Source organism: Homo sapiens, chromosome 1, assembly GCF_000001405.40.
Source record: "Homo sapiens chromosome 1, GRCh38.p14 Primary Assembly".
NCBI lineage: Eukaryota > Metazoa > Chordata > Mammalia > Primates > Hominidae > Homo > Homo sapiens.
The window spans coordinates 179,182,332-179,198,151 of NC_000001.11; the positions used below are offsets into that span (position 1 = coordinate 179,182,332).

The following is a 15,820-nucleotide window of genomic DNA, read 5'->3' on the forward strand; positions in this document are numbered from 1 at the left end:
ACCTTTAGCCTCAAATGAGCCCTTAACACTGCCTGGTGATCATACTGTATTTCTCTAGTCCATTCACTTTCCCACTTTCTAGACAATTATATGCTCTCCTCTCTTTTCAAACTCCTAATAGCTTCCTTTCTTACTAAGCCAATGACCTGGCTTAGAAAATTAAAGTAATCAGAGAAGATCTTCCAGCATATTTGACTTTCTGTTTCTGAGCTGTTTCACTTAAGATAATGGCTTCCAGTTCCATCCACGTTGCCACAAAAAGACATGATTTCATTCATTTTTATAGCTGAATAGTATTCCATTGTATACAGATATCACATTTTCTTTATCCATTTATCCTTTAATAGACACTCATAAACCTTTTAATCTTAATTGCTAGCTTTATGGTTGTGTTTATTATTATTTTGATTTGAATTAACATTTTGCATATTTAAATTTATTTAGGAGAGTTAAGTATGCAGTGTTAGTGGAAACTTTTTTGGTTAACAGCTTATAGAATCTTATTAATTTTAACAAGAAGGACCAGTTTGGCTTTGTAGGATATCTGATTTATGGAATATTTTAGGATACTAGGAATATTTTAGGATATCAGCATTTTTTTTGAGGTACAGAAAACTGGAAGTGGATTGTCATAGTATTGCTGGTAAGAATCACTGGGGCTCTTGATTTAACAAATAGCTAAGTTTTTTGTTTTTGTTTTTGAGACAGTGTCTCACTCTGTCACCCAGGCCAGAGTGCAGTGGCAAGATCACGGCTCACTGCAGCCTCGATCTCCTGGGCTCAAATGATCTCCTACTCAGCCTCCCAAATAGAGAACTGCATGTTCTCACAAGTGGAAGCTAAATAATGTGTACACATGGACACAGAGTGTAGAATAGGACACTGGAGACTCAGTGGGTGGGGCGGGAGGTGAGGGATGAGAAATTACTTAATGCGTACAACTTACATTATTCAGGTGATGGTTCCACTAAAAGCTCAGACTTCACCACGACATAACAAAACTGTACTTGTACCACTTAAATTTATAACAACAACAACAACAACAAAAACATTAGAAAGTTTAGATAAATATGTATCCCTAGAAAGTACAGGTTGATTTTCACTTAAAGGAAGACAATCACAAGGCTGTTAACCTTCTCAACAAAAAGAGTGCATCTTTCTATGTATGCAGAAAGCACTCAATTCAGGTCAATTAATCACAAAGCAACAATCTAACAAAAAAAGATAATTCCTGTTTTTGTTCATGTACAACTGAAATGATTAAAAAAAAATTATAATACAAACGTAAGTTAAAATGTTGTAGAGCACTAAACCAGAAGCCAGAAGACCAAAGTTCTGGTCTTTTCTCTGCCATAACTAGATACGGGAATTTTACTGTGTTTCCATTTCTTCATCTGTAAAATTAAGGAGCAGGGGAAAAGATCACTCTAAAATTATTTCAGAGTTTTCTGAGCTTCTTCCTGATGAGCAAGGAGACTTGTGGTCTGGTTCTTGGACTTTCCTAGCAGCATGGCCCCTAAATGCTAGTCTCCACGCCCACCTCAAAAGAAGAAACCAAGACCACCTCCTGTTCTGAGACTGGAAGAGACATCATCAGCCTCTCTAGACTTGCCGAAGAGAGAAAAAGAACAGCAGGAAGCAACTGAACATATTGATGAAGTACAAAATGAAATAGACAGGCTTAATGAACTAAGGGAGGAGATTCTGAAAGCAGAACAGAAAATAAACTCTGTCAGCCACTTTTTCAGAAGAGGTGAGAATTGATCGCCAAAGTTCCAAGTTTTGGGGTTACAACGTTTGTCAACCATCCTCAAGTGTCTGCACTGCTTAGGGAGGAGGACAAAGACGCACTGCATTATCTGACCAAAGTTGAAGTGACAGAATTTGAAGATACTAAGTCAGGTTACAGAATAGACTTTTATTTTGATGAAAATCCTTCCTTTAAAAATAAAGTTATCTTCAACGAATTTCATTTGAATGAGAGTGGTATTCCATCTTCAAAGTCCACTGAAATCAAATGGAAAGCTGGAAAGGATGCGATGAAACATTCAAGTCAAACACAGAATAAAGCCAGCAGGAAGAGGCAGCATGAGGCACCAGAGAGCTTCTTTATCTGGTTTACTGACCATTCTGATGCAGGTGCTCATATGTTAGGAAAGTTCATCAAAGATGACATTTGTCCCATCCCATTACAGTACTACTTGGTTACCGACTGATATGGATGAAGAAGGAGGAGAAGATGAGGAGGAGGAGGAGGAGGAAGAGGAAGGATTAGAAGATATTGATGAAGAAGGGGATGAGGAAGAAGATGATGATGATGATAAAGGGAAGGAAGGACAGTAGGGTGAAGGAGAAGATGACTAATAGAACACTGATGGATTCAACCTTCCTTTTTAAAATTTTCTCCAGTCCCTGGGAGTAAGTTGCAGTCTTTTTTTTCCCCCTCTTGTGGCTCACTTGCCCTGTTCTTGAGGTCTCTTTTCTATACACCATGATTCTCAACTTATTTGGGAGGTAAATACCTTGAGCAGAGTATTATGGTAAAAGAGTCTCTACCCCTTTCTGTTCCAAATTCATTTTTATCCCTTCCTGTCTGAACAAAAACTGTATGGAATCACCACCACCTAGCTCTGTCGGAAAAAAAGAAAAACCTGCTCCCTTCACTCTGCTGGAAGCTGGAGGGTGCTAGGCCCCTGTGTAGTAGTACACAGAATTCTAGCTTCTTTTCTCCTTTCTCTGTATACTGGACTCAGACAGTACACTGTGTCTCTACGTGAATATGGACAGTTAGCATTTACCAATATGCATCTGTCTACTTTCTCTTGTTTAAAAAGGGGGAAAGAAAACTTTAAAAAATGGGGTTAGAGAAGGTCAGCAAAGGGTGGATTTGAGATGTTTGGATGGGTTAAGCGGGCATTTTGACAACATGGCTTCTCTTTTGGCATGTTAAATTGAGGTGTCTGACAGACATCCTTGCAGTTTAAGGTAATACTTTTAAAATAAATTCTCTCCTAATGATGACTTGAGCCCTGCCACTCAATGGGAGAATCAGCAAAACCTGTAGTATCTTATGTGGAATTGACATTCTCTATTGTAATTTTCACCCTGTTTTTTTTAAAAAAAATTTTTTTGTTTCACTGGAAAGGAAAGATGATGCTCAGTTTTAAAAGTTAAAAGTGTACAAGTTGCTTTGTATAAGTCACTTTGTTATAATAAAACTAAATGTGTCCACAAAGGAAAAAACTTATTTCAGCTCAAACATCTTATGATTCCATGACCCAAAGTGTGGTATGCCATATTACATTTTCTTATTTTAAACAGAAATTAAAAGTATGTAAGTTTGAGTTAAAAGTAGCATTATATTGTTTTTGACTAAAAAGAGGTAGCTGTACATAAAGATTATAGCAATAATAAAAACCCATGAAGATATATAATGAGAATTTATTAATAAGAATATACAATGCTTTCCCTGGATAAAGTTACTCCTGTAATACTATTTTTTTAATTTAAAAAATTACCTTCTAAACCATTAACTTGAAATACTTAATAGCTACTTTTATAAGTCCTATTTTAGGAAGCCTAGACAAGCAAACCAAATTAATAGAAATTGAGAGTAGAGAAAATTAGCAATGGGCCGGGCGCAGTGGCTCACCCTGTAATCCCAGCACTCTGGGAGGCCCGGGCGGGGAGATCACTTAAGGCCAGGAGTTCAAGACCAGCCTGGACAACATGACGAAACCCTGTCCCTACTAAAAATACAAAAATTTGCTGGGTATGGTGGGGCGTGTCTATAATCCCAGCTACTCGGGAGGCTGAGGCAGGAGAATCGCTTGAACCTGGGAGGCAGAGGTTACAGTGAGCCGAGATGGCATCACTGCACTCCAGCCTGGGTGACAGAGGGAGACGCTGTCTTAAAAAAAAAATTGGCAATGCCCTCTTCTGGGCTACAACTACTTAATGAGTAATGTATACTAGCCTTGGAATTTATTTCACAATTCTTTTTGAGCGTGTGTGTTTGGGTTTATCAGCCATTTCAACTTCTTTTTTGTTGTTGTTGTTGTTTTGAGAGGGAGTTTCGCTCTTCTTGCCCAGGCTAGAGTGCAATGGCGTGATCTTGGCTCACTGAAATCTCCGCCTCCTGAGTTCAAGCGATTCTCCTTCCTCAGCCTCCCAAATAGCTGGGATTACAGGCGCCCACCACCATGCCCAGCTAATTTTTTTGTATTTTTAGTAGAGACGGGGTTTCACCATGTTGGCCAGGCTGGTCTCAAACTCCTGACTTCAGACACTGTGCCCGGCCTCAACTTCTTTCTTAAACCTGACTGGATCCAGCAAATATTTATTTAAAGTTTTGTCAATATGCCGGACTTTCCATTTAACTTTCATTTCCCATTTCTCTTCTGCTTCCAATACTATTTATTTATTTACAGAGTCTCGTTCTGTCACTCAGGCTGGAGTGCAATGGTGCAACCTAGGCTCATTGCAACCTCCACCTCCCAGGTTCAAGCAATTCTTAGGCCTCAGCCTCCCAAGTAGCTGGGACCACAGGTGCATGCCACCATGCTTGGCTAATTTTTGTATTTTTAGTAGACACGGGGTTATGTCATGTTGGCCAGGCTGGTCTCGAACTCCTGACTGCAAGTGATCCACCTGCCCCCACAAAGTGCTGGGATTACTGTTGTGAGCCACCACGCCCGGCCCCATTACCATTTATAGTGTACTTTTCAGTGTCCACCTTGGTTTTCCATTTTCTACATCTTTACCATGTCTAGTCTCTTTGTCTCTCTTATATGTGATTTCATTTTTGACTCAAGGGCCTTCATTCACCCAGTTAGTTATTAGGAGTTCTGAGATCCTCAGATTTCAGATTTCCCACATTCCACTCCTTTCTGCAATACCAGATGCAGCAGGTTTGCCAGTAAATTCAAACATATTATTCTGTCAGTTTAAATTTTCCAAGTTGACATTTTTATATTCCATTTATTTTCATCACTAGCAACTTGGTTGCTTAAAGTCTAAGGATTTTGCCTTTTAAATACTTTCTAGCACTTTGATATACATTGGAGAAACCAAAGAAGTTTCAAATTCAAAATGTCATCTAGTCAAAATGGGGAGGAAAAAATAGTACCCAATATTTAATTTGTCAAAACTGTGCAACACAGCCTTTTTTGGAAGGCCTAAGAAAAAAAATTATTGTATGCTATAATATAACTATAAAAGGTATTGGAGTTTCTTTGGGGAATTTTACCATATTTCTTGAAATAAGGGATCTGTACAAATTTGAATCCCTCCAGAGTTTAACTGTAATTCCTAAAGTTATCATTTACAAATATAAATGTTCATTATGAATTCATTTTTACTTCTTACCTCCATTCCTCAAGGGGTAAAAGTCAAATCTAGGGAAGAAATAATACTAACTAAATTTGATAAAGCTCACTGTATCTAGTACAGTGTTGTATACTCTATGGCTATTTCAGACTCATAACTAATCTCTCTGCTTTCACCCTTGTCCCCAAGAGTTTATTGTCCACAAATCAGCTAGACTGAACCCTATAAACTCTCCAAAAGATTCCCATCCCACTCAGAATAAAATCCTACTTCCTTATGATATACAAATCCTACATAACCAGTCATCAGCAATCCCCATCACTACTCCCACACAATTCTTTTACTTTCTTTTTCCTCTTATATATTATCCCCTACCATTCTCCTTCAGCCTTCTTCTCCAGCCAGTCTAGCCTCTTCTGCCATTCTGGAAGGATATACACCTCTACTGTAAATACAGTCTCCAGACTTTTGCCCTTGATGGTCCTCTTCCTGAAATGTTTTTATCTCAAAAGCCAAAAGTTTGACTCTTTCAGTAATTCTCTGCTCAAACGTTACCCCATCAGAGGCTTTCCCCAGCCACCCAATCTAAAACAGCACATCTGCTGGGCGTGGTGACGCAGGCCTGTAATCCCAGCACTGTGGGAAGCCAAGCTAGGTAGATCACCTAAGGGCAGGAGTTGGAGATGAGCCTGGCCAATATGGCGAAACCCTATCTCTACTAACAATACAAAAAAAAAAATAGCGGGACGTGGTGGCACACGTCTGTCATCCCAGCTACTCAGGGGGCTGAGGCAGGAGAATTGTTTGAACGCGGGAGGTAGAGGTTGCAGTAAGCCGAGATCACACCACCACACTCCAGCCTGGACAACAGAGCAAGACTCTTGTCTCAAAAAAATAAAATTAAAACAGCACCTCTACTATCACTCTCTCCCTTTACCCAGCACTATCTTCCTTCCTACCACTAATCACCACATTGTATAGTAAATAAATATTTAGTTAGCACCTGTCTCCACGCACTATAATGTAATTTCCAAGAAGGCTGTGATTTGTTCAGTGCTGTATTTCCAGTGCCAAGAAACTACCTGGTAGGTGCTCAGTAACTGTTGAGTAGATGAAAATCTAAAATGTCTGACTCTAGAATCCATGTTATCAACTTTAATTATTCATACACACCAAAGAAGTCCTTTAAATAATAAATGTTAAAAGTATATTTAAACTGAGACTATTGATTGCCTCTAGAGAAGAGGCTAAAGGGAGAGAAATATAGGGAGATTAAATGTATACCCCTTAAATCTTGAACTATATTAACGAGTTAATTTTTCAAAATTAAACAAAATGTAACATGTTAATTTAACAGGTTATAACAATGACTGAATTACATTAACTTTCCAGTTTAATTCTGCATTCTCATGATGTGGAACACTAATGGCCAAAACATGACAATCTTCATGTTGTTCTCGGGTGTTTTTTGTTGTTGTTATTGTTGTTGTTTTGAGACAGAGTTTCACTCTTGTTGCCCAGGCTGGAGTGCAATGGTGCGATCTAGGCTCACTGCAACCTTCGTCTCCCAGGTTCAAGTGATTCTCCTGTCTCAGCCTCCCGAGTAGCTGGGATTACAGGTATGCACCACCACAGCCGGCTATTTTGTATTTTTAGTAGAGACGGGGTTTCACCATGTTGGCCAGGCTTATCTCAAACTCCTGACTTCAGGTGATCCGCCCACCTTGGCTTCCCAAAGTGCTGGGATTACAGGCATGAGCCACCGCGCCCTGCCCTGTTCTAGGGTATTTTAATAAGACTCTCCAGGAATTTCTCAGAGAACAAGTTAAATGTTACTTTCTTAAATGTTCCCTACTCTTGTATCATATTACATCTTAATTAGCAATCGTCTTGTCACTAGGAAGTCGTTATGTACATTCATTTATTCATTCATAAAGGGTGACACAGCTACCAAACGGTAAGAGGAGTCTGAGGATAGAAAAAACAAAACCCCAAAGTGTTTTGGCCTACTCTCACCACTCAACACAATATTTCTAACACCAGATGTGTGGGGTTATTTCCTCCACACACCAAGCAAGCAGTGCACAAGCTGGTGTCTTACAATTTAACTCACTTCTATCTACCTAGAGACAGAAGCGCACAAGCTGGGTGTCTTACCATTTTTTTTGTTTTTTTTTTGAGACGGAGTTTTGCTCTTGTTGCCCAGACTGGAGTGCAACGGCGTGATCTCGGCTCATGGCAACCTCCGCCTTCCAGGTTCAAGCAATTCTCCTGCCTCAGCCTCCTGAGTAGCTGGAATTACAGGCATGCACCACCATGACGGGCTAATTTTGTATTTTTAGTAGAGACGGGGTTTCTCCATGTTGAGGCTGGTCTCGAACTCCTGACCTCAGGTGATCTGCCCACCTCGGCCTCCCAAAGTGCTGGGATTACAGGCGTGAGCCACCGGGCCCAGCCTGGGTGTCTTACAATTTAACTCAATTCTAATTCCACCTACCTAGAGATAGTGTCAGATTCCACAAGTCCAGGGCTCAGGCCCACATGACTGTCCCAGACTTCAGATGCCATTTCTGATTGATTGGCAATAAACTGGGATTTCCACAACCCCCTCCTTGGTTAGACTAATTTGCAAGAGTGGCTCACGGAACTCAGGGAAACACTTTACATACGTTTACTTATTTATTATAAAGGATATTACAAAAGATACAGATGAACAACCAAATAAAAAGATACACAGAGCAAGGTGTGGGAGAAGAGGGGCTGAGCAGAGTCCTTCAGGAACTTCCATGTGTTCAGCTATCCCAAAGCTGTCTCAACCCAGTACTTCTAGGTTTCGTGGAAGCTTCATTACATAGGCATAGTTGATTAAATCACTGGCCATTGTTGATGACGTTGATGACGTTAACTTTCAGCCTCTCCCCCCTCCACAGAGACGTGGGGGGTGGGGTGGGATGGAGGGGGGTGAGGGGGTGAGTGATGAAAGCCCCAACCTTCTAATCACGCCTCTCCTCAGTCTTTCAGGTGACCAGTCCCCATCCTGAAGCTATCTAGGGGTCCCCAGCCTCCAGTCACCTCATTAGCATACAAAAGATGCTCTAATCACCAGTGAGAGTCCTAGAATTTTAGGAGGTTTTTTTTGGCCGGGGAAACGGAATAAAGACCAAATATACATTTCACAATATCACATAATGTTTCATTGTTATAAGAAATTCTGTCACCAAAGTTGCCATAACAAAACAATATTCCAGGATATGGTCCATTATATCCAGAATTTAAGGTCCTAGGCCTGGTAATGGAGTTGAGAGGAAAAAGCGTTTAATAGGAAAAAGTAGAGGCAGCGATCCAGCCACTTCCCACTTCCCCTTCTAACCACAGCTAGTCCCTATTTAGATAGGAAGCCACTCCCAGTTCTCTTGAAAACAGCGGTCCTCTCAATTGCCAAGAAGGCCACAGGAAGAACGTCACTTTCAGAAAAGAAAACCCAGAATGATGACAGTAATGAAATCCTTCATGGACCAATACTAGACTAATGGTCTTCCCAGTACTTTATATTCTTACTACATCACAAAGGGTAAGGATTATAAACCCAAAGTTAGAAAGAATAAGCACTGATTTCTGCCAGCTATAAGGTAATAGATGATTGCACTTAATTTTCAAAATCAAATAAGGCTGTATACTTTTCCAATTCTTCTATATTAAATTATTAGATGTTGTATGATAGTATGAGAACCTTAATCTTTCTGTATGAAATCCCTTTTTTTTTTTTTTTTTTTTTTTTGAGACGGAGTTTCGCTCTTATTGCCCAGGCTGGAGTGCAAAGGCACAATCTCGGCTCACTGCAACCTCTGTCTCCTGGGTTCAAGCGATTCTCTTGCCTCATCCTCCCAAGTAGCTGGGATTACAGGCATGTGCCACCATACCCAGCTAATTTTTTGTATTTTTAGTAGAGATAGGGTTTCACCGTGTTGTCCAGGCTGGTCTTGAACTCATTACCTCAGGTGATATCCACCCACTTCGGCCTCCCAAAGTGCTGGGATTACAGGCATGAGCCACCTTGTCCGGCCTCTGAAATTACTTCATATATACATATTCTGCTATCATTTAAATAATCAACACTCTGTAAAGGTTTTTAAAAATCACTAAAGAGTTTTCAAAACAATTACTAAGAAACAGTCTGTGTCATGTTAAATGACAGATGGAACAATTACTCAATTGAAATGAGACAGAAAATCTGACAATCAATTGGAAACTGTCATATAAAAATTAAGGTTGGACCTAAGCAAAAGCATTACAAATGGTTTTTCCTTTGCTTTTATATTCTCTTTAAGAAAAATACATTTAATTGCAAACAAAGTATAAAGCAGAAGAGTAACTTATACTTGGTGACATTTTACCATTCCCCTACAGTCAAAATATAACAAAATATTTGAACCAATCATATTTCACTCCTTGGTTAGTCACGTATATAGCAGGGACTCTATACTCAGTAGTTACAGATTTAGTTACGAAAAACAATCCACAGGAATACCTTGGCTCTCACTCTACCAAAGGTAGATATGGCTGGCATCTTGAGCATGCTAGTCAATCTATCCAAATGCACAACTACTCATATCCCACCACTCTCTAGCTGTTTCCTATTTCATTTCATTAGGGAGACAGAGACAAACCAAAAAATATGATAAGAGAATGTCAAATGTGGAATGTCAAACCCTTCCACCAACACTGTTATCTCCATAACATCCTATAAAATTATCACTCAAGCTCGAATTACAACAAACTCTCAATAAATCCTAGACCACTTTTATTCTCACTGGACAAATAAATATCCTTGTTCTTGTCCCACACTGCCTGAATTTCCATTTTCCAAGTCATGTTATCATAATGGCACACCAATTCACCCATTTGTTGTACCTGTAAGTACCAGAAAAATCAAGTAAATTAACTCAAGCAGGTTGAGTTAAATCTGACAATTGACTTAACCTTTAATTACTTATGTGCCAGACATAAAAGAATGAAACACATGGCATGCAGAAAAACTGTACAATCACATCACATAGAAAAAATTTTAAAACTAGGTTAAGTAAATTAATAAATTTTGGTTATTCAAAGTATGTTCTGAAACATTAAGTCTGATAACTTCTTCCTAATAAATACAAGAGTCTGAATTATTTTCTTAAAATTTTGCTATTTCAAGTACAGAACTTTTCACGTATTTTTCTTTAAAGCATTAAGTCACACTGTATTATGTCTATTTGAATTACTACTTAAATTACTAGAAAGAAATCAAGATAACATTAAACTCTTAAAATATCTTTGGTAACAGAATGAATTATCTTCTGCGTTGTTGTCTATATCAAAGGTCATATCATATTTCATACTTTTCTAAGGTAAACATTTAAACAGCATACATGGTATGATGGAGAAAATTATACAAACTCACACCAAATATCAGCCTTTCTGAATTTCCAAAAAAGGGCACAACTTGCAAAAAAAAATGAGAACCATAATTTTCATGTATCAAGAAAAAAAATATAATAATCTGTTTTTCTAAAGTGCCCGAAGAAGTCAATTTGTGGCAACACTACCAGAAAAAGTGGCCAATGAAATCACACAAAATTTCTAAACTTTAAAAATGTACTAGGCTCTTTCTAAAGGTGAATATTATTGTCAAATCAGTAACTCAAACCAGCCCTAAATGTCTGCTTTTTTTTTTTTCAGGTAAGCAAGTGGGATTTAATTTTTTGTTTGTTTGTTTCTTTTTTGAGACAGAGTCTCATTCTGTCACTCAGGCTGGAGTGCAATGGCGCAATCTTGACTCACTTGCAACCTCTGCCTCCTGGGTTCAAGCAATTCTCCTGCTTCAGCCTCCCAAATAGCTGGGATAACAAGCGCCTGCGACCACGCCCACCTAATTTTTTGTATTTTTAGTAGAGATGGGGTTTCACCATGTTCACCAAGCTAGTCTTGAACTCCTGACCTCAAGTGATCCACCCTCCTTGGCCTCTCAAAGTGCTGGGATTACAGGTGTGAGCCACCGTGCCTGGCCTAATTTTTTGTTGCTGTTGTATTTTGTTTTTTTGGTTTTTTTTGGAGACGGAGTCTCGCTCTGTCGCCCAGGCTGGAGTGCAATGGCGCGATCTCGGCTCACTGCAAGCTCCATCTCCCAGGTTCACGCCATTCTCCTGCCTCAGCCTTCTGAGTAGCTGGGACTACAGACGCCCGCCACCATGTGGCCCAGCTAATTTTTTGTATTTTTTTAGTAGAGATAGGGTTTCACCTTGTTAGCCAGGATGGTCTCGATCCTGGCCAAATTTTTAAGTGATAGCAACAACTGGATTTTCTTCCTAAGTACTGGAGTATCCCCTAGTGGACTGGTGAGGAACAGTTTTTTGACTTACTAATCAAACTCTGTCATAATAAATTCACTTTTTTATAATCTCACCTAAATATCTTTTTTCCCATGGTCAAAACAGAGTTAACATTAGTTTTCATAAATTTCATAATTTTGACTACAGTGAAGGTCCTACAAGGTAGAAACACATTTTTTTTGACAAATACCATTTCCAGTGTTTCAAATACAATAACCTCTTTCAAGAATCTTGTTACATGAGCACGAATTTAGTAAGTGAAAAATCAATCATCCTTAATAGTTTCCTAACGGGCAAAGGAAGTTTTTATGGAAATTAAACTACTTCACTGAACTAAATGTCAACAATCAAATCATGAACATTAAGTAGAGTGCTTCCTAAAGAGCCAGGGGTTATCAAAGATAAATTTGAGAAACTACTGATGGAGGCTTGAAAATGATTTTTTTACATATCATATAATTTCTGCTAACATGGAATAAGGATTTCTAAAAAACAATTTTTAAGGTATCAACACACTATTTACACACATATTAAAACTCTACACACAAAACACTTCATATTTCTGCAAATAATTAAAATCCACTGAAGAATACAAGGGCTCCAGCTAGCAGTATGACTGGAACCTTGTGAGAGACCCTGAGCTAGAACCACCCAGCTAAGCCACTCTCAGATTTCTGACACTCAGAATAAATGTTGTTTGTTTTAAGCTGCTAAATTTGGGAATAACTGGTTACTCAGGAACAAATATGTTGCGTTTAATATGCTTAAAGAAAAAAAGAGGGTAATGATAGTAAGAAGAAAATGGCACTATAAAACAAAGACCAACAAGTCAACAACAAAAAAGCAAACAGATTCAAAAATGGGCAAAGGACTTAAAAATTTCTCGAAAACAGATACACAAATAGCCAATAAACACTTGTTAAAAAATGCCCAACATCACTAATAATTAGGGAAATGCATATCAAAACGACAATGAGAGGCCAGGCATGGTGGCTCACGCCTGTAATCCCTGCATTTTGGGAGCCTGAGGCAGGTGGATTACCTGAGGTCAGGAGTTCCAGACCAGCCTGGCCAACAAGGTGAAACCCCATCTCTACTAAAACTACAAAACTTACCCGGGCATGGCAGTGCATTCCTGTAGTCCCAGCTACTCAAGAAGCTGAGGCAAGAGAATCGCTGGGACCCAGGAGACTGAGGTTGCAGTGAGCTGAGATCGCACCACTGCACTCCAGCCTGGGCAACACAGTAAAACTCTGTCTCAAAAAAAACAAAAAACAAAAAAACAGTGAGATACCACATCACAGCCATTAGGATGGCTATTACTAAAACACACACGAACACAGAAAATAACAAATGTTGGTGAGGGTATGGAGAAACTAGAACCCTTGTGCATTATTGGTGGGAATATAAAATGGTAAAGCCACTATGGAAGACAGTATGGTGGTTCCTCAGAAAAATTAAACATAGAATTACTGTATGATCCAACAATTTCACTTCTGTATATATATATTCAAAAGAATTGAAAGCAGGAACTCAGATATACTTGCATGCCCATGTTCACTGCAGCATTAGTCACAATAGCCAAAAAGTGGAAGCAATCAAAGTAGTCCATAAAGAGATGAGTGGATAAAGAAAATGGGCTACATACACACCATTAAATATCATTCAGCCCTTAAATAAAAAAAAAGAAATTCTCCTGCACGTTACAACACAGATGTACCTTGAAGATTAAGTTAAATGAAATGAGCCAGTTACAAAAGGGCAAATACTATATGATTCCATTTATATGAGGAACCTAGAGTAGTCAAACTCATAAAGGCAGAAAGTAAAATGTGGTTGCCAAGGGCTAGAGGAAATTATAAAACGGGGAATTATAATTTAACAGATGCAGAGCTTCAGTCTGGAAGAAGAAAAGAGTTCTGGAGATGGATGGTGGTCATGTATGGTTATATGGTAGTGATGGATGGTTACACAACAGTATGAAAAGAGCAATGGCTCACGCTTGTAATCCTAGCACTTTGGCAGGCCGAGGTGGACGGATCACTTGAGGCCAGGAGTTCCTCCCCAAATCCAAGTTCCTAGATGCCAGCCAAGGGCCAACCTTGCAAGCAGACCTCGCTAAGCATATCAGTCTCAATCAGGCCTGCTATGTTAATTCTTTCTGCACAACTGAGATGTTCTCTTTGGAAATAACATGGTTTTTTGTCTTGTTTTTGGAGTTCTGTGTTTTTCTATTCAAAATGCACCCCCATTTCCTGTCACTTTAACTAAAATTACCTTATTGAAATTTGTATCTTTTTTGTAACTTATCAGCTACTTATGCCCAAGTTTTAAAACATTTACAAGCCACAAATATGGTGGATACACTATGGGATGATTAAATTATTTGTCTGTACTTAAGTAGAATACCTATGAGAAAAATCCCTTTAAGATTTAAAGATGGTAATCCAAGGTGATTCCTTCTCCAAGGGGGACATCCAGTGACCCTCTCAGGAAGTAGCAACTTGGAATAGAATAGTCCAGGAGTTCCAGGACCAGCCTGGCCAATATGGCGAAACCCCATCTATACTAGAAATACAAAAACTAGCCGGGTGTGGTGGCAGGTGCCTGTAATCCCAGCTACTCGGGAGGCTGAGGCAGGAGAATCGCTTGAACCCAGGAGGTAGAGGTTGCAGTGAGCCAAGATCAGCACCACTGCACTCCAGCCTGGGCAACAAGAGTGAAACTCAGTCTTAAAAAACAAACAAACAAAAAAAAACAAAAAAAAAAACCCCACTGACCTGTACATTTTCAAATGGTTAAAATGGTAAATTTTATGTTACATGTATTTTACCACAATTTTTTTATAAGACCAGATTTTAAAGAGAATCAAACAGAACCTGCAGAAATAAAAGACATAATAATTGAAATTAGTTCAATGGATGAATCAAATAGCAGATTAGCTCAGCTAAAGATGACTGTGAATACACAAAATGTAGCATGGTGATACAAAAATTGAATATATCAAACAGAAGTTATGCAACATGAGGACAGAATAGAATGTCCAACATATCTAAATACCATTCAAGAGGGAAAGAAAAGAAAAATGAGAACGAGGCAATATTTGAAGATATAATTGCTGAGACTTTTCCAAAAACTGCTGTAGTTTCTGGAAGCACAAAAAATTGCTAGTAGGATAATAAGAAATCTATACCTAGTCACTTTCCAGTGAAAATGCAAGACACTAAAGACAAAAAAAAAAATTTAACCACCAGATAGAAATGACAGATTGTCTACAGAAAGGACAATTATACTGACAGTTTCTCAATAGCAACAATGGCACCCAAGGGATAATAAAAAATATATATTGAAAAAGCTAAAGAGCAAATCAAATACTCTTCAAGGCTGTACAACTAAACCTGCTATGACTTTGAGGGCCCTTTTACCCCCACCAAAAGACTATAAACTCAATTCACCAATACATTATAGTTAACTAATTCTTAACCAGGGAGGGTGTCTGATTTTCTTCCAGAATACACCTGCTTGGTTCAAAAAAAAAAAAAAAAAATTAAAAAAAAAAGGCCGGGTGAGGTGGCTCACGCCTGTAATCCCAACACTTTGGGAGGCCAAGGAGGGTGGATCACCTGAGGTCAGGAGTTTGAGACTACCTTGATCAATATGGTGAAATCCTGTCTCTACTAAAAATACAAAAATTAACCAGGCGTGGTGGCATGTGACTGTAGTCCCAGCTAATCGGGAGGCTAAGACAGGAGAATTGCTTAAACCCAGGAGGTAGAGGCTGCAGTGAGCTGAGATCACGCCACTGCATTCCAGCCTGGGTGACAAGAACGAAACTGTCTCAAAAAAAAAAAAAAAATTGTTTTCTGCTGGGCACAGTGGCTCACACCTATAATCCTAGCACTTTAGGAGGCTGAGGCGGGCGGATCACTTGAGTCCAGGAATTCAAGAGAAGCCTGGGAAACATGGTGAAACCATGTCTCTACTAAAAATATAAAAATTAGCTGGCGTGGTGGCACACGTCTATAGTCCCGGCTACTTGACAGGCTGAAGTGCGACGGTCCCCTGAGCCTGAGGAGGTCAAAGCTGCAACGAGTTGTGCCACGCCACTGCACTCCAGCCTGGAT

The 15,820-nt window shown here is 39.2% G+C and overlaps 1 protein-coding gene and 2 pseudogenes across 9 annotated transcripts in view; 2 read left to right on the forward strand and 1 right to left on the reverse strand.

Annotated features, from left to right (window-relative positions):
• ABL2 (ABL proto-oncogene 2, non-receptor tyrosine kinase) overlaps positions 1-15,820 on the reverse strand; it is a 130,348-nt gene that overhangs the window by 83,002 nt on the left and 31,526 nt on the right. The gene's annotated exons all lie outside the window — the stretch shown is intronic.
• On the forward strand, positions 1,443-2,535 carry SETP10 (SET pseudogene 10; annotated as a pseudogene).
• LOC124900432 (uncharacterized) lies at positions 14,142-14,248 on the forward strand (annotated as a pseudogene).